Source organism: Homo sapiens, chromosome 7 (assembly GCF_000001405.40).
Source record: "Homo sapiens chromosome 7, GRCh38.p14 Primary Assembly".
Taxonomy (NCBI): Eukaryota; Metazoa; Chordata; class Mammalia; order Primates; family Hominidae; genus Homo; species Homo sapiens.
This window is the reverse complement of record NC_000007.14, coordinates 147826998-147852755: the sequence shown is the minus strand read 5'-3', so window position 1 is coordinate 147852755 and position 25758 is coordinate 147826998. Positions and strand designations below refer to the sequence as shown.

The following is a 25758-nucleotide window of genomic DNA, read 5'->3' as shown; positions in this document are numbered from 1 at the left end:
AGGACCAGGAAGATCTCAAAGTGAATGAAAGAAAAAGAAAGAAAATCAATAGGTGTCAGCCGTGAGATGACAGAGATGTGAGAATTACCTGGTACAGATTTGAAATTAGCCATTCACTGAGCAATTACAAACATTCTTGCAATGAATGAAAACTAGAAAATGCAAAAAATGTAATCTTTAAGGAAGGCTTTGTATAGTCTACTCAATCTCAACATTAGAGTGTTAATTTTTTTATTTTAACGTATTTGAAATTTTGAATGGATCTGAAATTTTGTCAAGAGTCGACATTAAGACTTCTAGAGAAAGATGTGTAGCTATGGGTTTTGTCTCATCTAATCATGTTGCTAAGTCACTCGTAGATCAAGGAATCAGAACTTTTCAGAACATCTTAACATATTTTTGGAATGATACAGAAAACTTTTCATTCATACCTCCTCTGTAATTGTAGTTTGCAAAATAGGAAGAGTGGATGGAAAGAAATTCTTGGCAATAACAATTAAGGTTGTGGGGCTATAACTAAGAGTGTTTGTGATAAGTGCGGCGAGATCTTCTTTGATGTAATAATTAACTACATAATTCATGAATTCATGTTGTAAAGTGTTCGGCCATGTGATAACAACCTGAGGACCGTGAGGTTGTGCATACCTCTCTTCACACTGGAGTTCCCAAAGAGGCAAAGCACTAAAAATTAAGGTCGCAATATAGACTTTTTCAAGCAACTATATTTTGGGACCCAGGATAAGTAGTTCTTATACTAGCTACATTTGCTGCTGTGCTGCAGCCAAGGAATACAGTGATTTTTTTTAAACAAATCAGAAAAATAATTTATTATTATTCTTATTATTTATTATATTTTAAGTTCTAGGGTACATATGCACAACGTGCAGGTTTATTACATATGTATACATGTGCCATGTTGGTGTGCTGCACCCATTAACTCGTCATTTACATTAGGTATATCTCCTAATGCTATCCTTCCCCCCTCCCCCCACCCCACGACAGGCCTTGGTGTGTGATGTTCCCCTTCCTGTGTCCAAGTGTTCTCATTGTTCAATTCCCGCCTATGAGTGAGAACACGTGGTGTTTGGTTTTCTGTCCTTGTGATAGTTTGCTGAGAATGATGGTTTCCAGCTTCTCCATGGCCCTGCAAAGGACATTTTTTATGGCTGCATAGTATTCCATGGTGTATATGTGCCACATTTTCTTAATCCAGTCTATCATTGATGGATATTTGGGTTGGTTCCAAGTCTTTGCTATTGTGAATAGTGCTGCAATAAACATACGTGTGCATGTGTCTTTATAGCAGCATGATTTATAATCCTTTGGGTATATACCCAGTAATGGGATGGCTGGGTCAAATGGTATTTCTAGTTCTAGATCCCTGAGGAATCACCACACTGTCTTCCACAATGGTTGAATTAGTTTACAGTCCCACCAACAGTGTAAAAGTGTTCCTATTTCTCCACATCCTCTCCAGCACCTGTTGTTTCCTGACTTTTTAATGATCGCCATTCTAACTGGTGTGAGATGGTATCTCATTGTGGTTTTGATTTGCATTTCTCTGATGGCCAGTGATGATGAGCATTTTTTCATGTGTCTGTTGGCTGCATAAATGTCTTCTTTTGAGAAGTGTCTGTTCATGTCCTTCGCCCACTTGTTGATGGGGTTGTTTGTTTTTTCTTGTAAATTTGTTTGAGTTCTTTATAGATTCTGGATATTAGCCCTTTGTCAGATGGGTAGATTGCAAAAATTTTTTCCCATTCTGTAGGTTGCCTGTTCACTCTGCTGGTAGTTTCTTTTGCTCTGCAGAAGCTCTTTAGTTTAATTAGATCCCATTTGTCAATTTTGGCTTTTGTTGCCATTGCTTTTGGTGTTTTAGACATGAAGTCCTTGCCCATGCCTATGTCCTGAATGGTATTGCCTAGGTTTTCTTCTAGAGTTTTTATGGTTTTAGGTCTAACATTTAAGTCTTTAATCCATCTTGAATTAATTTTTGTATAAGGTGTAAGGAAGGGATCCAGTTTCAGCTTTCTACATATGGCTAGCCAGTTTTCCCAGCACTATTTATTAAACAGGGAATCTTTTCCCCATTTCTTGTTTTTGTCAAGTTTGTCAAAGATCAGATGGTTGTAGATGTGTGGTGTTATTTCTGATGCCTCTGTTCTGTTCCATTGGTCTATATATCTGTTTTGGCACCAGTACCATGCTGTTTTGGTTACTGTAGCCTTGTAGTGTAGTATGGTTTGAAGTCAGGTAGTGTGATGCCTCCAGCTTTGTTCTTTTGGCTTAGGATTGTCTTGGCAATGCGGGCTCTTTTTTGGTTGCATATGAACTTTAAAGCAGTTTTTTCCAATTCTGTGAAGAAAGTCATTGGTAGCTTGATTGGGATGGCACTGAATCTATAAGTTACCTTGGGCAGTATGGCCATTTTCACGATATTGATTCTTCCTATCCATGAGCATGGAATGTTCTTCCATTTGTTTGTGTCCTCTTTTATTTCGCTGAGCAGTGGTTTGTAGTTCTCCTTGAAGAGGTCCTTCACATCCCTTATAAGTTGGATTCCTAGCTGTTTTATTCTCTTTGAAGCATTTATTATTTTTTAAAGATTTTTACCAAAAAGCATTTGAAAGTAGAAACATTTCTTTTTGCTCAAGTAAAGGTTAATCTTGAATGGTCTTAAAATGTTGCCTCTTTCCAGAAAAGGATCTTCCCCAGTAATACATATAATTAAGCTGTGCTTGAAGGCTGAAGCAGCCTATAAGCTAGATACTGAAGTCTCAGCTAGTTATCTCTTCTCCCATCCATGTACTAGCCAAACCAACCCTGCTTAGCTTCTGAGATCAGGCATATTCGGGATGGTAAGGCCATAGACAGGTTGCCTCTTCCATTTTTGGTTTGTGTCCATTTCGCTTGCACATCCATTCCAATGCCTAACATGCCTATTGCTAAAAAGGACTTAAGTGAAAGTGATGACCATCTCACTTGCCTCCTGACCACAAATGTGGCCTTGGTGACAGAAAGGGCATGGCTGGGTCCACAGAGTCCCTGGCCTGCTCGCAGGTGTGCAGGGCTGGAGAACAGCTTATTCAGGAATTGTCCAAGACAATAGAACAGGCAGGAGGAAGAGGTTTCTTTGCATGTTTCTACTGTACAAATGGGTGTCCTGTGGATACTTATCAAAATAAAGACGTGATTCATCTTAAATTATCTGGCTCTAAATTGATAATGCTGCATAGGTATTTACATAATGACAAGATTACTTCAGAAGGGGACAGATAAGATGACCTCAGATGAGGACAGTCTGGAGTAAAATCCTGACTCTTATTCAGCAAACCAAGAATAGTTGTAGTGAAACAGATCATGTTCTAAAAGTCTACACTCCTGTTATCTCAAAGATGATTAATTTGTTTTCCCCTACAAACAATGATGCTGAGAAATGAAAATACTCAATCTGTTGGTATATTAACATTCATAATCGTGTTTATTGAAACACATGGTCATTTACTTGATGAAAATGTAATATTGGCCTTGAGATATTTTCATCTGTGCAGATTGTCATAATGATATTACTATATTATGCTAATGGTCACTTTACAAAAATGAAAGTTATAAAATGGCAACAGAATGTTGCTGTTTTATGCCATTTTTCCAGTAGAATCTCAATGATGTATTAAATCAATCATATTTACTATACCTCTAGGAGAAATTTTACTGAACAATTTTCATTCTGATTTAATATACTTTTCAGAGTACGTAGCTGGAGCCTGGCATAAGTGATGTGAGTTACAGAATCTCTAATATGGAGATGTTAAGGCTTTTCCGACTCTGATCTCACTATTTGAGAAAAAAAAACAAAATTAAAATTCCTCCCAAACTGTCAACAATACAGTTATTCATTGAGAGGTTTGGTCTTTTGTGTATGAATCATGATTCATAAATTCTATTCTATGAATTTTTGTTCTATGGTATTTAAGCTTTCTCTCTGTTTCTGTAATTTGGAACTATTTCAGGAAATTAAATATTTAGTTATTTTTTTTTTTTACCATTAACTAAAGTTTGAAGCCCAAATGCCTTTTGAAATTCAGACAGGCCAAATTCTTAGCAGAAAAAGATACTTGAAATGCAACTGAAGGGAGGAGGAGCCAAGATGGCCGAATAGGAACAGCTCCGGTCTACAGCTCCCAGCGTGAGTGACGCAGAAGACGGGTGATTTCTGCATTTCCATCTGAGGTACCGGGTTCATCTCACTAGGGAGTGCCAGACAGTGGGCGCAGGCCAGTGTGTGTGCGCACCGTGTGCGAGCCGAAGCAGGGCGAGGCATTGCCTCACCTGGGAAGCGCAAGGGGTCAGGGAGTTCCCTTTCCGAGTCAAAGAAAGGGGTGACGGACGCACCTGGAAAATCGGGTCACTCCCACCCGAATATTGCACTTTTCAGACCGGCTTAAGAAACGGCGCACCACGAGACTATATCCCACACCTGGCTCAGAGGGTCCTACGCCTACGGAATCTCGCTGATTGCTAGCACAGCAGTCTGAGATCAAACTGCAAGGCGGCAACGAGGCTGGGGGAGGGGCGCCCGCCATTGCCCAGGCTTGCTTAGGTAAACAAAGCAGCCGGGAAGCTCCAACTGGGTGGAGCCCACCACAGCTCAAGGAGGCCTGCCTGCCTCTGTAGGCTCCACCTCTGGGGGCAGGGCACAGACAAACAAAAAGACAGCAGTAACCTCTGCAGACTTAAGTGTCCCTGTCTGACAGCTTTGAAGAGAGCAGTGGTTCTCCCAGCACGCAGCTGGCGATCTGAGAACGGGCAGACTGCCTCCTCAAGTGGGTCCCTGACCCCTGACCCCCGAGCAGCCTAACTGGGAGGCACCCCCCAGCAGGGGCACACTGACACCTCACACGGCAGGGTATTCCAACAGACCTGCACCTGAGGGTCCTGTCTGTTAGAAGGAAAACTAACAACCAGAAAGGACATCTACACCGAAAACCCATCTGTACATCACCATCATCAAAGACCAAAAGTAGATAAAACCACAAAGATGGGGAAAAAACAGAACAGAAAAACTGGAAACTCTAAAATGCAGAGCGCCTCTCCTCCTCCAAAGGAACGCAGTTCCTCACCAGCAACAGAACAAAGCTGGATGGAGAATGATTTTGACGAGCTGAGAGAAGAAGGCTTCAGACGATCAAATTACTCTGAGCTACGGGAGGACATTCAAACCAAAGGCAAAGAAGTTGAAAACTTTGAAAAAAATTTAGAAGAATGTATAACTAGAATAACCAATACAGAGAAGTGCTTAAAGGAGCTGATGGAGCTGAAAACCAAGGCTCGAGAACTACGTGAAGAATGCAGAAGCCTCAGGAGCTGATGCGATCAACTGGAAGAAAGGGTATCAGTGATGGAAGATGAAATGAATGAAATGAAGCGAGAAGGGAAGTTTAGAGAAAAAAGAATAAAAAGAAATGAGCAAAGCCTCCAAGAAATATGGGACTATGTGAAAAGACCAAATCTACGTCTGATTGGTGTACCTGAAAGTGATGTGGAGAATGGAACCAAGTTGGAAAACACTCTGCAGGATATTATCCAGGAGAACTTCCCCAATCTAGCAAGGCAGGCCAATGTTCAGATTCAGGAAATACAGAGAACGCCACAAAGATACTCCTCGAGAAGAGCAACTCCAAGACACATAATTGTCAGATTCACCAAAGTTGAAATGAAGGAAAAAATGTTAAGGGCAGCCAGAGAGAAAGGTCGGGTTACCCTCAAAGGAAAGCCCATCAGACTAACAGCGGATCTCTCGGCAGAAACCCTACAAGCCAGAAGAGAGTGGGGGCCAATATTCAACATTCTTAAAGAAAAGAATTTTCAACCCAGAATTTCATATCCAGCCAAACTAAGCTTCATAAGTGAAGGAGAAATAAAATACTTTATAGACAAGCAAATGCTGAGAGATTTTGTCACCACCAGGCCTGCCCTAAAAGAGCTCCTGAAGGAAGCGCTAAACATGGAAAGGAACAACCGGTACCAGCCGCTGCAAAATCATGCCAAAATGTAAAGACCATCGAGACTAGGAAGAAACTGCATCAACTAATGAGCAAAATCACCAGCTAACATCATAATGACAGGATCAAATTCACACATAACAATATTAACTTTAAATATAAATGGACTAAATTCTGCAATTAAAAGACACAGACTGGCAAGTTGGATAAAGAGTCAAGACCCATCAGTGTGCTGTATTCAGGAAACCCATCTCACGTGCAGAGACACACATAGGCTCAAAATAAAAGGATGGAGGAAGATCTACCAAGCCAATGGAAAACAAAAAAAGGCAGGGGTTGCAATCCTAGTCTCTGATAAAACAGACTTTAAGCCAACAAAGATCAAAAGAGACAAAGAAGGCCATTACATAATGGTAAAGGGATCAATTCAACAAGAGGAGCTAACTATCCTAAATATTTATGCACCCAATACAGGAGCACCCAGATTCATAAAGCAAGTCCTGAGTGACCTACAAAGAGACTTAGACTCCCACACATTAATAATGGGAGACTTTAACACCCCACTGTCAACATTAGACAGATCAACGAGACAGAAAGTCAACAAGGATACCCAGGAATTGAACTCAGCTCTGCACCAAGCAGACCTAATAGACATCTACAGAACTCTCCACCCCAAATCAACAGAATATACATTTTTTTCAGCACCACACCACACCTATTCCAAAATTGACCACATACTTGGAAGTAAAGCTCTCCTCAGCAAATGTAAAAGAACAGAAATTATAACAAACTATCTCTCAGACCACAGTGCAATCAAACTAGAACTCAGGATTAAGAATCTCACTCAAAGCCGCTCAACTACATGGAAACTGAACAACCTGCTCCTGAATGACTACTGGGTACATAACGAAATGAAGGCAGAAATAAAGATGTTCTTTGAAACCAACGAGAACAAAGACACCACATACCAGAATCTCTGGGACGCATTCAAAGCAGTGTGTAGAGGGAAATTTATAGCACTAAATGCCTAGAAGAGAAAGCAGGAAAGATCCAAAATTGACACCCTAACATCACAATTAAAAGAACTAGAAAAGCAAGAGCAAACACATTCAAAAGCTGGCAGAAGGCAAGAAATAACTAAAATCAGAGCAGAACTGAAGGAAATAGAGACATAAAAAACCCTTCAAAAAATCAATGAATCCAGGAGCTGGTTTTTTGAAAGGATCAACAAAATTGATAGACCGCTAGCAAGACTAATAAAGAAAAAAAGAGAGAAGAATCAAATAGACACAATAAAAAATGATAAAGGGGATATCACCACCGATCCCACAGAAATACAAACTACCATCAGAGAATACTACAAACACTTCTACGCAAATAAACTAGAAAATCTAGAAGAAATGGATACATTCCTCGACACATACACTCTCCCAAGACTAAACCAGGAAGAAGTTGAATCTCTGAATAGACCAATAACAGGCTCTGAAATTGTGGCAATAATCAATAGTTTACCAACCAAAAAGAGTCCAGCACCAGATGGATTCACAGCCGAATTCTACCAGAGGTACAAGGAGGAACTGGTACCATTCCTTCTGAAACTATTCCAATCAATAGAAAAAGAGGGAATCCTCCCTAACTCATTTTATGAGGCCAGCATCATTCTGATACCAAAGCCGGGCAGAGACACAACCAAAAAAGAGAATTTTAGACCAATATCCTTGATGAACATTGATGCAAAAATCCTCAATAAAATACTGGCAAACCGAATCCAGCAGCACATCAAAAAGCTTATCCACCATGATCAAGTCAGCTTCATCCCTGGGATGCAAGGCTGGTTCAATATACGCAAATCAATAAATGTAATCCAGCATATAAACAGAGCCAAAGACAAAAACCACATGATTATCTCAATAGATGCAGAAAAAGCCTTTGACAAAATTCAACAACCCTTCATGCTAAAAACTCTCAATAAATTAGGTATTGATGGGACGTATTTCAAAATAATAAGAGCTATCTATGACAAACCCACAGCCAATATCATACTGAATGGGTAAAAACTGGAAGCATTCCCTTTGAAAACTGGCACAAGACAGGGATGCCCTCTCTCACCACTCCTATTCAACATAGTGTTGGAAGTTCTGGCCAGGGCAATCAGGCAGGAGAAGGAAATAAAGGGTATTCAATTAGGAAAAGAGGAAGTCAAATTGTCCCTGTTTGCAGACGACATGATTGTTTATCTAGAAAACCCCATCGTCTCAGCCCAAAATCTCCTTAAGCTGATAAGCAACTTCAGCAAAGTCTCAGGATACAAAATCAATGTACAAAAATCACAAGCATTCTTATACACCAACAACAGACAAACAGAGAGCCAAATCATGAGTGAACTCCCATTCACAATTGCTTCAAAGAGAATAAAATACCTAGGAATCCAACTTACAAGGGATGTGAAGGACCTCTTCAAGGAGAACTACAAACCACTGCTCAAGGAAATAAAAGAGGACACAAACAAATGGAAGAACATTCCATGCTCATGGGTAGGAAGAATCAATATCGTGAAAATGGCCATACTGCCCAAGGTAATTTACAGATTCAATGCCATCCCCATCAAGCTACCAATGACTTTCTTCACAGAATTGGAAAAAACTACTTTAAAGTTCATATGGAACCAAAAAAGAGCCCGCATTGCCAAGTCAATCCTAAGCCAAAAGAACAAAGCTGGAGGCATCACACTACCTGACTTCAAACTATACTACAAGGCTACAGTAACCAAAACAGCCTGGTACTGGTACCAAAACAGAGATATAGATCAATGGAACAGAACAGAGCCCTCAGAAATAATGCCACATATCTACAACTATCTGATCTTTGACAAACCTGAGAAAAACAAGCAATGGGGAAAGGATTCCCTATTTAATAAATGGTGCTGGGAAAACTGGCTAGCCATATGTAGAAAGCTGAAACTGGATCCCTTCCTTACACCTTATACAAAAATCAATTCAAGATGGATTAAAGATTTAAACGTTAGACCTAAAACCATAAAAACCCTAGAAGAAAACCTAGGCATTACCATTGAGGACATAGGCGTGGGCAAGGACTTCATGTCCAAAACACCAAAAGCAATGGCAACAAAAGCCAAAATTGACAAATGGGATCTAATTAAACTAAAGAGCTTCTGCACAGCAAAAGAAACTACCATCAGAGTGAACAGGCAACCTACAAAATGGGAGAAAATTTTCGCAACCTACTCATCTGACAAAGGGCTAATATCCAGAATCTACAATGAACTCAAACAAATTTACAAGAAAAAAACAAACAACCCCATCAAAAAGTGGGCGAAGGACATGAACAGACACTTCTCAAAAGAAGACATTTATGCAGCCAAAAAACACATGAAGAAATGCTCATCATCACTGGCCATCAGAGAAATGCAAATCAAAACCACTATGAGATATCATCTCACACCAGTTAGAATGGCAATCATTAAAAAGTCAGGAAACAACAGGTGCTGGAGAGGATGTGGAGAAATAGGAACACTTTTACACTGTTGGTGGGACTGTAAACTAGTTCAACCATTGTGGAAGTCAGTGTGGCGATTCCTCAGGGATCTAGAACTAGAAATACCATTTGACCCAGCCATCCCATTACTGGGTATATACCCAAAGGATTATAAATCATGCTGCTATAAAGACACATGCACACGTATGTTTATTGCGGCACTATTCACAATAGCAAAGACTTGGAACCAACCCAAATGTCCAACAATGATAGACTGGATTAAGAAAATGTGGCACATATACGCCATGGAATACTATGCAGCCATAAAAAATGATGAGTTCATGTCCTTTGTAGGGACATGGATGAAATTGGAAACCATCATTCTCAGTAAACTATCGCAAGAACAAAAAACCAAACACCGCATATTCTCACTCATAGGTGGGAATTGAACAATGAGATCACATGGACACAGGAAGGGGAATATCACACTCTGGGGACTGTGGTGGGGTCGGGGGAGGGGGGAGGGATAGCATTGGGAGATATACCTAATGCTAGATGACACGTTAGTGGGTGCAGCGCACCAGCATGGCACATGTATACATATGTAACTAACCTGCACAATGTGCACATGTACCCTAAAACTTAGAGTATAATAAAAAAAAAAAAAAAAAGAAAAGTAAAAAGTAAAAAAAAAAAAAAAAGAAATGCAACTGAAATATTTAAATCTAAATATAAAAGCTATTTTTAAATGGCTGAAATTATTCTCTTCCCCCTTGTTCTCAGAGCTGCATATACTTATAGCAGTTATTGAATGAAAACTTAAAATACATGGAATTAAAAATTATATTATTAACATAGAATATGTGGAAATAAATATAACACTGTGATTCACAGAACTGGCTGTACTATCTTATGAATCTGCAACAAATTGTCTGTATCAAAATTTCTTAGTCTGTAAGGGACTAATTGCTTATATGTGTCTCTCACGAAGTTTGGAGATAATGCTCTCCTCTGATCACACAGTTGTTACTTACTACCTATGTGACCTTTGGTAAAGTATTTCACTTGGGTGTTAATTTCCTTATCTGCAAAATGGGAATAATCATGTATCTAGTTTTTGTGGTTGTGAAGAGCAAATGAATTATGCATTTATATTAATAAAATATTAAGCACCTGTGTAACACATGTGAAGTGAAACATATGTATTTATTTTTAATGATAATAAACAATTAATGGCAACTTTGACCAATATAAACTGTGTATCATAATTTTTACTTTCTGAATTCAGTTTGGTTTATAATTTAAAATCTACCATTTTGTTAAATGTATCATATTTTAGTGATTTTAAGGTTGGTGATTTCTTAAAAGAAAGTACACATTATTCTATGGATTAGTAGGAATTTCATTTTTCTTATATTGTTATTGAAGCCAAATATTTAAAAATACATAATTGATCAACACATAAAAATTCCATTTATATTTTATATTTATGTATAAATACTATTTTTGCATTCTTCAACATTTCAGATGTATTGACACATTCTTGCTTTAATTTGAATTATTCCCACTTGGGACTTGTTCAAACAATCTCTTAATCAAAACCTGGATGACCTATTCATATCCTTTAGCAGGGCCTGAATATCCTGTGTTCCTCATGAGCTAGAAATGTGAATAACTTTGTGAAATAGGTAGCGTAGGGTCTTTTTTTTTGCAAAACAGAGTCTATGAAAATTGCGCTTTGCCCCAAATTGTTAATTGCCTTTGCACACCTTGTAGCACCTGTAGCTGGGGAGTCTCTTTATGACTGAGATCTCAGTCTCGGTCTTTCCCTCACAGGAGGTGCTCATGACATTTTATCTAGTCAGTTCTCACACAAAGGACTTGCCTTAGATACTGACAAAAGCCTGAAAGAAAACAGACGATCTGGCAAATGCTGTGATAGTGTGTTTGTTGGCGATTACCTCTCTCAACACTGTCAAAGATTCAGATTGTAAAAAATATCCACACATACAACTTTTTCTGTTATCATTATGTGGACTCAGAAAATAAAGCAAAGAAATGAGGCAATTTTCTGAACAATCAGGCAAGAAAAATGGCCTCAATTACTCATTTTGTCTCTCTGTCTCACTTGTCTAGACATTGCTTGGGGGCAGGGGGTGAAAATTTACTACAGTTTTCTAATACATTGATTAAAAACTAATATTTTTGACAATTTGCTGAAATAATCTTTGCTGAAGGCCTAATTGAATTTGAAGCCGGAGGTAGTGGCTATTTTTATTTATTACATCATGAGGTCACCTAGATTATGCTTAACCAACTTTACAAGTAATTTTTCTGAGTTCAAGGGTTTGATTTTTTTTTTCATAAAGTCATGAGGGCTAATTTCCAAGTGGATTTTGGAGAAGATTTATGATTCTACTTTCTGATCATCCAAACCAAGAATCTAGATCCCATTCTAGACAAGGTCTTAGAGATGTGATGTGAGTACCTTTCTATCTTCCCTTTCCTTTCCTTTCTGTCCCCATGAATCATTTCTCTTCTGGATTACATTCAATTCTTTCAAATTCATTCTGATCTCCATTCGATCCTTCCTTTCCACTGTGACCAGAGTGATTTTTCTTAAGCACAAATTAGCCCATGTCCACTTCCTACTTAAGATCCTTTGATTCTGCATAAGTGCTTTCAGGATGAAATTCCACACTCCCCAGCATAAGACATGAAACCCCCTGTGTAAGAGCAGTGTTGTACTTTCTCTCCTATCTCCCTCCCGGGCACTCTCCTAGAGCTACCTGGACATGCTGCAGTAACTCAGACACCCCCAACTGCAGATAGGCTCCTTCCTCTGCCCCCACCAGTGGTTCTTAACTGGGAAGAAGGTGCATTCCAGGGGAGATATTTTGCAATGTCAGGTGACATTTTGTTTTCGTTTTTTAAAATTTTTAAATTTTTATAGATTTAGGGGGTAAAAGTGCAGTATTGTTATACAGATATATTGTACAGTGGGGAAGTCTGGCTTTTAGGATAACTATCACCCAAATAGTGTACATTGTACCCATTAGATAATTTCTCATTCCCCTTCCCACCCTCCTCCCTTTCTGAGCCTCCAGTGTCTATTATTCCATGCTCTATGACCATATGTGCACATCATTTAGCTCCTACTTATAAGTGAGAACATGAGGTATTTGGCTTTCTGCTTCTGAGTTATTTCATTTAACATAATGACCTCCAATTCCATTCATGTTGCTCCAAAAGACATGATTTCATTCTTGTTTATGGCTGAGTAGTATTCCATGGTATATATATGTGTGTGTGTGTGTGTATACATATATATATACACAGCACACACACACACATATATATACACACACACACACATATATACACCACATTGTCTTTATCCAATCATCCATTAGACACTTACGGTGATTCCATATCTTTGCTATTGTGAATAGTGCTGCAATAAGCATACAAGTGCAGGCATCCTTTTTATATAATGATTTCTTTTATTCTGAGTAGACGCCCAGTAGTAGGATTGCTGTATCAAACTGCAGTTCTGTTTTCAGTTCATTGAGAAATCTTCAGGAGACATTTTGGTTGTCACACTAGCACCTCATGGACAGAGGCCAGGGATGCTGTTAAGATCCTAAAACACACAGGACAGCCCCTGACAACAAAGAATTATTCTGTGAAAAATGTCAAAAATAAGAAACCCTGACCTAAAACAACCTTCATGGCTTTCTTTACTCACTTTCTCCTACTCTTTAAGACTCAGCTCAAGAGTGACTGCCTCTGGAAATGTTCCTTTACCGCCACCCAGCCTCACTGTGATTTACCTCTCATTACTGTTCTTGTTATCTTCTTTTTCTCTTCTATAGATTAAAACATATTTTAAAATACAATCTTTGGAATCTATTAGGTACCTGTGATGGTTAATACTGAGTGTCAACTTGATTGGATTGAAGGATGCAAAGTGTTGTTCCTGGGTATGTCTGTGAGGGTGCTGCCAAAGGAGACTAACATTTGAGTCAATGGACTGGGGAAGGCAGATCCACCCTCAATCTGGGTGGATACAATCTAATCACCTGCCAGCATAGCCAAAATAAAAGCAGGCAGAAGAACGTGGAAAGACTAGACTGGCTTAGTCTTCTGGTCTATATTTTTCTCTTGTGCTGGCTACTTCCTGCCCTTGAACATTGGACCCAAAGTTCTTTAGCTTTGGGACTTGGACTTGCTTCCTTGCCCCTCAGCTTGCAGGTGGCCTATTGTGGGATCTCACCTTATGATCATGTGAGTCAATACTCTTAATAAATTCCCTTTATATATATGTCTATCCTATCAGTTCTGTCCCTCTAGAGAACCCTAATACAGATTTTGGCACAAGTAGAGTGGAGCCCTACTGAAAAGATACCAAAAAATGTGGAAGCAATTTTGGAACTGGGTAACAGGCAGAGGTTGGAATAGTTTGGAGGGCTCAAAAGAAGACAGGAAAATGTGGGAAAGTTTGGAACTCCCTAGAGACTTGCTGAATGGCTTTGACCAAAATGCTGATAATGATATGGACAGTAAAATCCAGGCAGAGGTAGTCTCAGATGGAATGAGGAACTTGTTGGGAACTGGAGCAAAGGTGATTCTTTTTATGCTTTAGCAAAGAGACTGACAGCATTTTGCCCCTGCCATAGAGATTTGTGGAACTTTGAACTTGAGAGAGATGATTCAGAGTATCTGGTAGAAAAAATATCTAAGCAGAAAAACATTGAAGAGGTGACTTGGGTGCTCTTAAAGGCATTCAGTTTAAAAAGAGAATCAGAATATAAAAGTTTGGAAAATTTGCAGCCTGACAATGTGATAGAAAAAAAAATCCTATTTTCTGAGGAGATATTCAAGCTGGCTGCAGAGATTTGGATAAGTAATGAGGAGCCGAGTTATTCACCAAGACTATGGGGAAAATGTCTCCAGGACATGTAAGAGATCTTTGTGGCAGTCCCTCCCATCACAGGCCCAGAGGCCTAGGAGAGAAAAATGGTTTCGTGGGGTGGCCCCAGGGTCCCTGTGCTGTATGCAGTCTAGGGAATTGGTGTCCTGCATCCCAGCCGCTCCAGGTGTGACTAAAAGGGGTCAAGGTACAGGTTGGACAATGGTTTCAGAGGGTGCAAGCCCCAAGTCCTGGCAGCTTCCACATGGTATTGAGCCTGAAGGTATACAGAAGTCAATAACTGAGGTTTGAGACCCTCCACCTAGATTTCAGAAGATGTATGGAAATGCCTGGATGTCCAGGCAGAAATTTGCTGCAGGGGCGGGGTGCTCATGGAGAACTACCATGCACCTGGAAGAGCTGTAGACACCCAATGCCAGCCCATGAAAGCAGTCAGGAGGGAGGCTATAGCCTGCAAAGCCACAGGGACAGAGCTGCCCAAGGCTGTGAGAGCCCACCATCAGTGTGACCCGGATGTGAGACCTGGAGTCAAAGGAGATCTTTTGGAGCTTTAAGATTTGACAGCCCTGCTGGATTTTGGACTTGCATAGGGCCTTTAGCTTCTTCAGTCTGGCCAATTTCTCCGATTTGGAATGATGTATTTATCTAATGCCTGCACCCTCATTGTATCTAGGGTGTAACTAACTTGCTTTTGGTTTTACTGGCTCATAGGCAGAAGGGACTTATATTGTCTCAGATAAGACTTTGGACTGTGGACTTTTGAGTTAATGCTGAAATGAGTTAAGACTTTGGGGGACTGTTGGGAAGGCATAATTGGTTTTGAAATGAGAGGACAAGAGATTTGGGAGGGGCTGGGGCAGAATGATATGGTTTGGCTGTGTCCCCACCCAAATCTCAACTTGAATTGTAGCTCCCACAATTCCCATGTGTTGTGGGAGGGACCCAGTGGGAGGTAACTGAATCATGGAGGTGGGTCTTTCCTGTGCTAGTCTCATGATAGTGAATAAGTCTCATGAATCTTGATGGTTTTATAAAGAGAAGTTTCCCTGCACAAGCTCTCTTCTCTTGTCTGCCACCATGTGAGACGTGACTTTCACCTTCTGCCATGATTGTGGGGCCTCCCCAGCAACATGGAACTGTGAGTCCATTAAACCTCTTTCTTTTGTAAATTGCCCAGTCTCGGATATGTCTTTATTAGCAGCATGAAAATGGACTAATACGGTACCCAACATGCTTATTGATTATATAAATGGATAATACTAATTAGGGCAAATTCACCTATCCATGAACTCGGATGGCATGGTGAAATGTAACAGGTTTGAGTCCCTTTTAGCTATGCTTACTTATTTATGAAATGCCTTTGGGACAAAGCAGAACTTTCATGAATTCATTTAGAAACTCAGAGGAGAAAAATTAAGACATTACTAAAATAAGTTAATTTTCAAATTATGACTATGTACAGATTTTTCTACAATTTCAATTTTATATGTTGGAAACAGAACAGCTATAAGTTTGAATAACAGACAAGAGCTCCATCCAAGGCTAAATACTATCACTCACTTATTTTCCAAATATTTATGAGTGGCTGCTATATGCCAGGCATCATGCTACCCATGAAATGTCATGATGAGCAAAATGTCCTGTGCCTGCCGTCAGAGAGTGACAGTCCAGCAGGAAAGACAGACAATCCAGAAATATAAATGAAAAATTACAAACAATGATCATGACTGTGAAGAAGAGGGAAAGGGTGTTAGGAGAGTTTACAAAGAGAGTGTATGTGTGGGGCTGATCTATTATAAAGGGGCAGGAGGGCTTCCCGTAGAGTTGCACTTTGGAGCTGATGTTGACTGGGGAGGTGGTGCATGGTGGGGGAGGAGTGTGCCAGCCAAAGGAGGAGCACATAGAAGCCTGAGGTGAGAAGGGTCCTAGCATGTTCTGGAACCAAAGAGAAGACCAGTGTGGCTGGAATACTGGGGGAAGGGGAAGGCTGGGAGGACACGAGGCTGGGGAGGTAGACAGAGCCTTTTATATAATATTAAATGTTGACAGAGTCTTTAGGCTAAAAAACATTTAGGGGAGCCGTTACGTGTGTAATTATTCCTAACTGAAAAGTTCAAAGTACTGTTATTTGAGCTATATTTTGTTAAAATCAACAATGACAACAACAAACCACTAGGACAACAAAAATTTCTTCCTGGATTGCTTTTTAGATTGGGTATTTTCATAGTTGTATTAGTTTCCTAAAGCTGCTGTAACAACTGACCACAAACTTGATGGCCTAAAACCACAGAATGTATTGGCTCACAGCTCTGGAGGCCAGAAATCCACAATGGAGGCCAGAAGTCCACAATGGAGGCCTCAGCAGGACTGCACTCCCTCCACAGCTCCAGGGGAGGAGGTTTGTTGCCTCTTTCAGCTTCTCATGGCTCCTGGCATTCTTGGTCTTGTGACCACAGAACTTCAATCTCTTCCTCTCTCTTCACATGGGTCTTCACATGAGTTGCTTCTCTGTGTGTCAAAGCTCTCTCTCCTTTCTCTCATGAGGACTCCAGTCAGTGGATTTAGAGTAGATTTCTAAGTCCAGGATGATCTTAATCTGCAGATCCTTAACTGCATTACATCTGCACAAACCCTGTTTCCAAGTAAGGTCATGTTCACAGGTACCAGGGATGAGAACTTGGACATATCTTTTTGGGGCACACAATTGAAGTCACTACAGTAATGTTGATTTCCAATCATTATTATTACTAGATTACACTTGAGCATTATTGCTGTGTTATTTCTTAGGGTATTAACCTCAATACTGCTCATCCATTCACCACCACTAAAGATGACAGGTGCACAGAGAAGCAAGCAGTACACTGATTTGGACATGGGACTCAGCCTGGCTTGGCCACTATCTTGGCCACTATCTGCTGTGTGACACTTAACTCCTGCAAGCCTCATTTCTTCACCCTTAAAACGAGGAGTGACACTTTACCTCTACATATATGATAGCCTTTACATGTTTTCTATGAATCTACAACTTCATCACTCGATTCATGGCTCTGCTCACTTTTTCTTGACCATGCTGACGTTTTGTCCTCTGGTCCTCCTTCTTTAAAATATTTTAATCCTTTTCTGAGTCAGTGGGGATGGTGGTGGTGGGGCCTTCCCTGACCTCTGTGGCTGGATTCCTACTCCAAGTCCTTGCATAGAGAGAAATGGTTTTACAGGGGAATGTTTCATTGGAGATGAAACAATGATACTTTGGTAGCCGGGGCAATTCTTTTTTTTATCCTTATTGGCAGATCAGTCCCCAGGTGAAGTTTATTTAGCACTTGTCATTAAAGAAACGTGAGTTGGTTAGAAGCCAGTGTGAGCAAGTGGAGAGAAAGAAAGTTTCTGATTCAGTTGAATTATAATAAAACAAGCACCTCTGTACAGTTTAAGATAAACCCCACTGAACTGAATGTTTGTTATTTATGTAAGCTAAAACCCTCATTAAATTGACAGCAGCATTATTATTAGGCAAAGTGTGATATAACATAGATACAGACTCAAAATGGACATAAATGACGTCCACTGTATTTATTTATGACAAAAATTAGTCAGAATTGTAAGTACTGGTGATGTTAGGTTTTCTATTGAAAGTGATTCTTTCTCCATACGTCTGGGGTTTGAGTTCATGTAGCCACCAAACTCTGCCAGAGTTTAATGAGGATCTCAAAGGTGGGAGATGGATCCATTTGGTCGATGTAGGTGTCTATGAAAGACCCAGAAACATTAGTCTGTCAGAGTACCAAAGGGAAAGAAATAATTGAAAAGGAGATATAAAAGGAGAAGAAAGACAGCTATTAAAAAGTTGAATTCTAGTAGAATTACGAGGGTATTTTTACAACACTCTGTAGTTTTAGATGGCTTCCTCCATAGACCCCAACACAAAATGCATCACAGAAAAGTACAAAAGAGCAATAGTCCTTTTTATGAGATTCTGTTCATTGGAAAAGAAAAAGAAGATTTAGCCAGCAGCAGGAATTTGTTCCACCTAGCTTTAAATGGAAATCACTTTTAAAGCAGTCATGGAAAAATTTAGCTGGGTTCCCAAACAATATAACATGTTCAGTGCAAAGTCTGATTCACGGAGCTTCTGCCAGCAAATCATTATTCTTGCACTACAAGAAAAAGGGTGTATTGTTCCCTGTTACAGGAGAGCTAGGGAAAAAGAACATGATAGTCAGCAGAGGAGCTAAAGAGACTTGATTTATAGATTATATTGACTCACTAGTGTGGAAAGAAAAAGTAACCCATATCTAATCTTTCAATTCTTCCTTTGAGGTGTCTTTCAGATGTGTACCTTCCTCTCCATGACTTCTGAATCTGTCTTCATGCCGTCCCCTCCCTCTTGTTCACCTGCGTTGCCATCATAGTCCCTCGCTCCCCAGCTGGGGTACCAGATATCTGTCTGTGACACTCAGCCCCATTCCTACCTCATTCTATGATCTCTCCTACAGCACAGGGACTGGCAGTGTAGGAACTACATTTCCCAGAACCCCTTGCCTAACAGAGCTTTGTCTTGGATGCGACCAGTAAGAAACTCCTGTGGGAGATTTGGATGGCAGAGAAGTGTGTATTGGGGCAGTGGCCTGCTGACATGCAGAGTTTGGAACCTAAAGGGTTTTTAGTAGCCTTTAGCAGTTCACCAATAGATACCGGAGGCTGCTGTGACCTGTGGGGAAGTTTCCTTGAGTTTCTGACCTGCCTGGAGGCAATGTCTAATCCCTCGGTAGCCATTAGAGAAGCTGAGGCCAGCAGTGACTGGCCTTCCTCAACCTCAGGACTCCTTTCCGTCACTTTCATAAGCACATAGTGACCCACATCAGATCCCTTCTTCCTTGGAGCATCGAGGGAAGGTTCTATTTTCCTGATTGCTTACATCACTGCTCTCTGGAGCTCGGAAATTATCTATCACAGCTCCTTATTTTATGGTTGAAGCTCGGAGAGATTAAGTGACTTGCTCAAGATCACGCAGCTCCTTAATTATGGAACCAAGCCTGGGATCTCTATCTCCTAACTTCCAGATTGGCGCTAATTTCTATTGTTTCATGCCTCTGTAGATTTGTATACCATCTCCTCATGTTCCCGCATATTTTTATACCCCTATTTTGTTGTATCTACGATGCTAGCAGTTATCATTGTTTCATGAAAAAAAAAAAAAACCTAAGAAAAATACCACCAAATAAACGGACTCAGTAAATTTTAATCACTGGAAAATTTTGTGCTTGCTGAAAGAACTCTTTTCAGCTTGATTATAAATTTTTAAATTATTTATTGCATATACACAAAAATAAAATATAAACAAAATAAATTGGGTGAGATATTTCTGAAACTTCCTTTCATGTAGAGTCTGACTCTTTGAATCATGTTTTTGACTCAGAGTTATTAAGCCTAATTACATATAATTCTGTATAAATAACATATAAAATATGTATAAATATAATGATCTATATTATAGAATAAATATATATAACTATATATAATTAAATTACATAGTTAATATATAATTAAATGTACAATTTAATTAAATGTTTATATGTCATTAAATTATAAAATATTTATTTAAAAATATAAAAACAATATCTTGAAATATATTGAAATATAATATGAAATATAATATATTGAAATATATTGAAATATAATTTTATATATTGCTTTATATAAAAATATAAAAATATAATATATTGAAACGTAAAAATATATATTTCAATATATTTCAATATAATATATTTCAATATAATATATTGAAATATAAAAATATATTGAAATATAATTAAATATACTTAAAATAAAATATAAGCAAAGTTAATTGGGTGAGATATTTCTGAAACTTCCTTTCATGTAGAGTTTGACTCTTTGAATCACGTTTTTGACTCAGAGTTATTAAGCCTAATTATATATAATTCTGTATAAATAATATATATTAAATATATTATGTATATAGATATATGTATAAATATAGATAATGGATCTATATTATATAATAAATATATAAAAACATACAATTAAATTACATAGTTAATATATAATTAAATGTATAATTTAATTAAATGTTTATATAATTAAATGTATAATTTAATTAAATGTTTATATAATTAAATGTATAATTTAATTAAATGTTTATATAATTAAATTATATATTTATTTAAAAATATAAAAATATAATTGTATGATTATAAAATTATATAATTATATATAACAGTTTTAAAATATAAATTTCTATGCCATCAAGAGATAAGATGAGGTAATATTTCCTTAAAAAATGTTAACTTATTTTTAATGTCGTGGGTACATTGTAGGTGTATATATTCATGGGGTACATGAGATATTTTGGTGCAGGTATGCCATGTGTAACAGTCACATCATGGAAAATTGGGTGTCAATCCCCTGAAGCATTTATCCTTTGTGTTCCAAAAAAATATGGAATCTTTATGCATTTATGTGTCATTCTTGTGCAGGGGCCTTGCTGATCTTCCCTGTATTGGTCCAGTGTTAGCATATGTGCTGCCAAAGCAAGCGCAATGTAACATTTAAATCTGTTAAGCAACTAAAATGCTGTGGTGCTAGACTCTTAAGTCATTTGGCAATGACATAGAACTAGACTTCTTTTTTTACTTTTGCTTCCTGTATGTTAAACATATATAATACATTGTCTCACCCATCTTCTTTCAAAACAAGTAGGTCCTAGGAATAATAAGAGTGGTCTGTAATTGACTCTGAGGTTTTCTTGCAAGATGCTGACATGTGTCTTACACGTTGTTCTCCTACATGCAAGCATTGCTTGTGACATCACGACTGCCACCTGGCTGAAGGCAACTATAAGATGTCATAGATTCCAAGATGCATCCAAATTTCAGAAATATTACAATGAAAAAAATCATGTGTCACAAAATGTATTCAATTTTTAGTTCTGTTCTGTTCATTTCTGTGTCTTCAGTAAGAGTGTATGCGTTTTCAAGGTATAGTTAGTAGCATATAATTATTTTTAGTGTCTCAGAATACAGGCGTACTTGGGGATTATTAAAATATGGTTTTTCCTTAAACTGAAACTTGTATCTTGTGTATTCATAATGCTACTGTTTTAATGTAATTAATCACTATAATTTATGATTAATTTAATGTCTTTAAGGCATAACATATACAGCTTTAATTCATGTTTGGACCCAACAAACATTTATTGTTCTCATATTACCAGGCATATTTGTGTCTCAGGAGATTATTAACTCTCATGCTTAATAAGAATTCCTCTAACTTGAAAACTCAAAGATTAAGATTTCTGTGATACCTATGTATAGATAGCAAGGCTATGGTAATGCAATTGGTAAAAGCTTGTTTTGTTTGAGAAAAATAAGGCAGAAAACAAAATTTAATTCTTTGAGAGGATACACTTGCCATCTCTTCTGTTTCTTAGAAAATGGGTTTTCACCATGCTTACTCATAACCAGTACCTGCTTCTTGAACATTTGGCTGAGAAGAAAAAGTAACGTAGCAGTCAGCAGGAACTCACTAATACAAGAGAATGCTGTATGGAATGAAGTAATGCGTACAGAGCATGGCACCTGGCAGATGTGTTTCCATCTGTTGCTCAGACTTTTATCTTATTTTCCCTCCAACCCATTATATGGTCTTTCCATGCTTGGCAAATAGTAGGCAGTCAATGAATGATAAGTTCCTTCTATTTCCTGCTTTTGCTCCAAAGTTAAAGCAGGGCGAATACTTGGGCTGAAATGATTTTCCCTTCTTTACAGCTTGCCTACAGTTTTGAAGAAAGTAGATGTAGTGGATTGGATGTTTATGTGACCCCCACCAAATTAATATGCTGAAATCTTAACACCCAAAGTGATGTTAGGAAGTGGGGCCTTTTGGGGGGGAAGTAGGTCATGAGATGCAGAGCCTTTACATATGGTATTAGTGACCTTATACAAGAGGCCCCAGAGAGTGCATTTTCCCCTCTGCCATGAAAAGTCACAGCTAGAAAGAGCCATCTATGAACAGAAAACTCCCCCTCACCAGACACCAGATCCACCAATACCTTGGCAGGTCTTGGACTTCCCAGCCTCCAGAGCCGTGAGAAATGAATTCCTGTTGTTTATAAGCCACCTAGTTTATGTTTTTTTTTTTTTTTTAATAGCAACCCGAATGGACTGAGACAGTACGTACTCCAAGCCACTCACAATCTCAGATTCACATATGTATTGAATGCCCCATGGAAACAAAGTCCATCATAGCATGTTTGGACTAGAACGGGTGCATGAGACTCTTTTGGCCTAAGGTTGCTATGGAGATCCACTTCTGGAGCAAGGCAGCTCCAGGATTCTGGGAGACCTTCTCGGGGTAAGCAGATGTGAGATTTCTACAGGGACTCCGTGGGATTCACCAGAGCCTGTATGTGACACCTGTGACCTCTGCTTTACTGGGGACCATGTGGCCCCCCTCGCTGCTCTGTATTCCCCACAAAGATTCAAGCAGATGCCCGGTGGTCACTCTGACCATCACAGGCCTGTTCCAATTGTTACTGTGGAAAGGACCTTAGGATATCTGAAAGTTGACCGTATGCTCCTCCAATTGTTCTTGTATACACATCATTTAACACTGGAAAGTAGTAGAGTGTTCATGATTTGTGTGGGCTTTCCAGCTAGCCAGACAAGTTCCAATCCTGTTTCTGTTACCTAGAGTCCTATGACCTTGATCAATTTACTTAGAACTTCCATTTAAGCATTTGTGATATCGGAAAAATGCCTGTCTCACAGGGTTTTTGTAAGGATTGAATGAGATCTGTACCTGAAATGCCTGGTAAAGGGTAAGCACTAAATATGGAGAGCTATTATGATCACTGACAAACGTGACATTTAAGACTTTTAATTCAACATCATTAGCTCATCTGTCTTATTGACACTTAATCAAGACTTTCTAAAGTGTGAGCTCGTATTAATTTCCCGGTAACTCAGTTGTCTACTTGAGTTCATTTTCTTTCACCAAACTGAAACTAACTCCTGTGGCATGATTGATTTTGCCAGAGTGATTCTGCATATCCTAAACAGGATCTTTCCATCTGCTGCTCAACCCCATCTGTTCTTGCCTCCAGCTGATCCAATTTCATATCCAGTTGGTAGAGGGCCACCTGAAAAAAAATCTGCATTATGTTCTGATGTCCTGAAGAAATCTTGAGAAAAATTCAGCATAAAGAGTTCAGTCACTGGGACACACTAAAGGCTCAATAAATTATTTTAGGGGAAATGGGGAACTTGCCATATGGTGCTGGTTTTTTTGGTGGTGAAATTAGGTCATATCAAAGTTGTATTAGAAAAAACAAGGAAAACTCGTGCCTAGCAGAGTGCTATGTGCAGTACAGACTCTTCATACCCAAGAACTAAGTAATATAGTACCATTATTATGTAGGAGGATTGCAAGTCCTTTGAAGGTGATAAATGTTCCAAAGATGTATCATTTCATTTTTAAGGTATTATTATTTTTATATTAAAAGTATGATATTTTAGATGATTAGAGAAACTAGGACATTTAAGACTTTAATTACTCTTTCACAAAATACGCACTAGACTGCATTCACTTGAGCTGGAGTATCAGTGAACATTTATGAAGAAAGAGATGCTTCCCTGAGTGGTGTAGCATGGGGTAATAGCAACAGCACTGAGCATCACCCCAAAACAATTTGCTGGTGCTTATTAGATGCCAGATGTTGTCAGAGGCACTTTGCCTTTATTACCTTCATGTATTTTATCAAATTAAGATAGAATTTATTGTTTGATGCCTCATGACTTTATGTGGCACTTCCAAAAAAGATGTGCCATTGATTTTAAGAATCATCCCAATTAAAATGTGAAATGTGCCTATGTCATAGAATGGAAGAATGCAGTAATCTATGATTCCTTATAACACCTCTATGAGGCTCATTTTACATATGGATAAATTGAAACTTAGTGGTATTAAATGAAATGCCCAAGCCCCTTCCAGTTAGAAAACAAGGAAATCTGGACTTCGATCCAATTTTGTCTGCTCCCTACAATCTGTATTAACCTTGGGCTTCAATGCCCTGGTTCTGCAGTGACTGTAGTTCCAGAGATAGTAAGTAGCAGTGAACAAAGCTCTAGAATGAATTTGTACCTCTAGTGCTGTACCTGGAAGCACATCTTCATATCTGAAATAAGTATACTACATTCACCCATTTCTTCCCCCTTTTTTCTAGTTTCTTTCTTCATTCGTTGATGATCTACATAGAAAATCATGTTTTAAACGAATTCCTTTTCTCTCCTCTGTACCCTAAAGGATCGTGTGTTTTGAAAGCAGTGTAGCTAGCATCAGAAATCATAAGAATAGGAAGAATGGCTTTCTTTAGGGAAAACTTAAAGGTTTCTCTCCTTTCTTGTAGAATTTCTATTATTATAGAAATAATAGAAATATGCTTTATCTTTGATTAAATAAATGATGGGTTTAATACAAGAAGTCATTGCATTACTTGCTTTGGCCTGGAAAACAACTGGTCAGAAACCTCCCTGGCATTCTACCCTCTCATACTTTCTAAATCATCTCCTTCCTACCTTTTTGGGCTCTATGAGACTATAGCCAGCACTACAGGAGCTATCTATTTCTTCTTCCTGTGACTCTAAGATTCCGCAAGTTCAAAACCCAAAGCTTGGCAAGAAAAAAAATCCTAAAGGTAAGTAACATATTTCAATCATTTTACAAATCTCTTTCCTCTTTCCTCTACCAAATACACCGAGGATATCCCTTGAGAAGTTTTACAATCTAATTTGTTTAGTAGATCTTGTGGCCCACACTATTTAGAGCAAAATATTCGTTTACTCAACAATTTTTTTTGTTATGTGCTATGTTAAGCACTTTACATTTTATGTGCTATGCTAAGCACTTTACATTTATTATGTACAACTTACACAACCACTTGGGTAAGTTTGGTTCCTAGGGATTAACTGGATTGCAAGGCCATGAAGCCACAGAGTGCTTGACACCATGCAGAGGGAAGTCAGGTTGACTCAGAGCCCTTACTCCATCTGCTTGGGGCAAACAGAGAAAACTTTTGGCCTAGGATATTTTTCATCAACAGTGAGTAATTACTAAAGTTATTATAGAAGGGATTTCAGTCCTTAAAATGTATTATGTATTCAGATTTTATCCTGTGAATGGCGAAACCCCATCTCTAATGAAAATAGAAAAAAATTAGCTGAGCTTGGTAGTGGGTGCCTGTAGTCCCGCTACTCAGGAGGCTGAGGTTGGAGAATGGTGTGAACCCAGGAGGTGGAGCTTGCAGTGAGCCGA

General features: G+C 38.7%; 1 protein-coding gene and 2 pseudogenes across 1 annotated transcript in view, besides 1 other annotated feature; all 3 read right to left on the bottom strand.

Annotated features, from left to right (window-relative positions):
- CNTNAP2 (contactin associated protein 2) overlaps positions 1–25758 on the bottom strand; it is a 2304198-nt gene that overhangs the window by 568243 nt on the left and 1710197 nt on the right. The window lies entirely within an intron of this gene.
- Positions 386–555: an enhancer, noted in NCBI's record as "experimental_97821 CRE fragment used in MPRA reporter constructs". NCBI's record gives its function as "activates a minimal promoter by MPRAs in K562 erythroleukemia cells, with activity observed for the introgressed 7:147549378 variant allele {active_cell/tissue: K562}" and the evidence as "EXISTENCE:reporter gene assay evidence [ECO:0000049][PMID:34662402]".
- RNA5SP249 (RNA, 5S ribosomal pseudogene 249) lies at positions 2774–2872 on the bottom strand (annotated as a pseudogene).
- On the bottom strand, positions 20879–20986 carry RNU6-1184P (RNA, U6 small nuclear 1184, pseudogene; annotated as a pseudogene).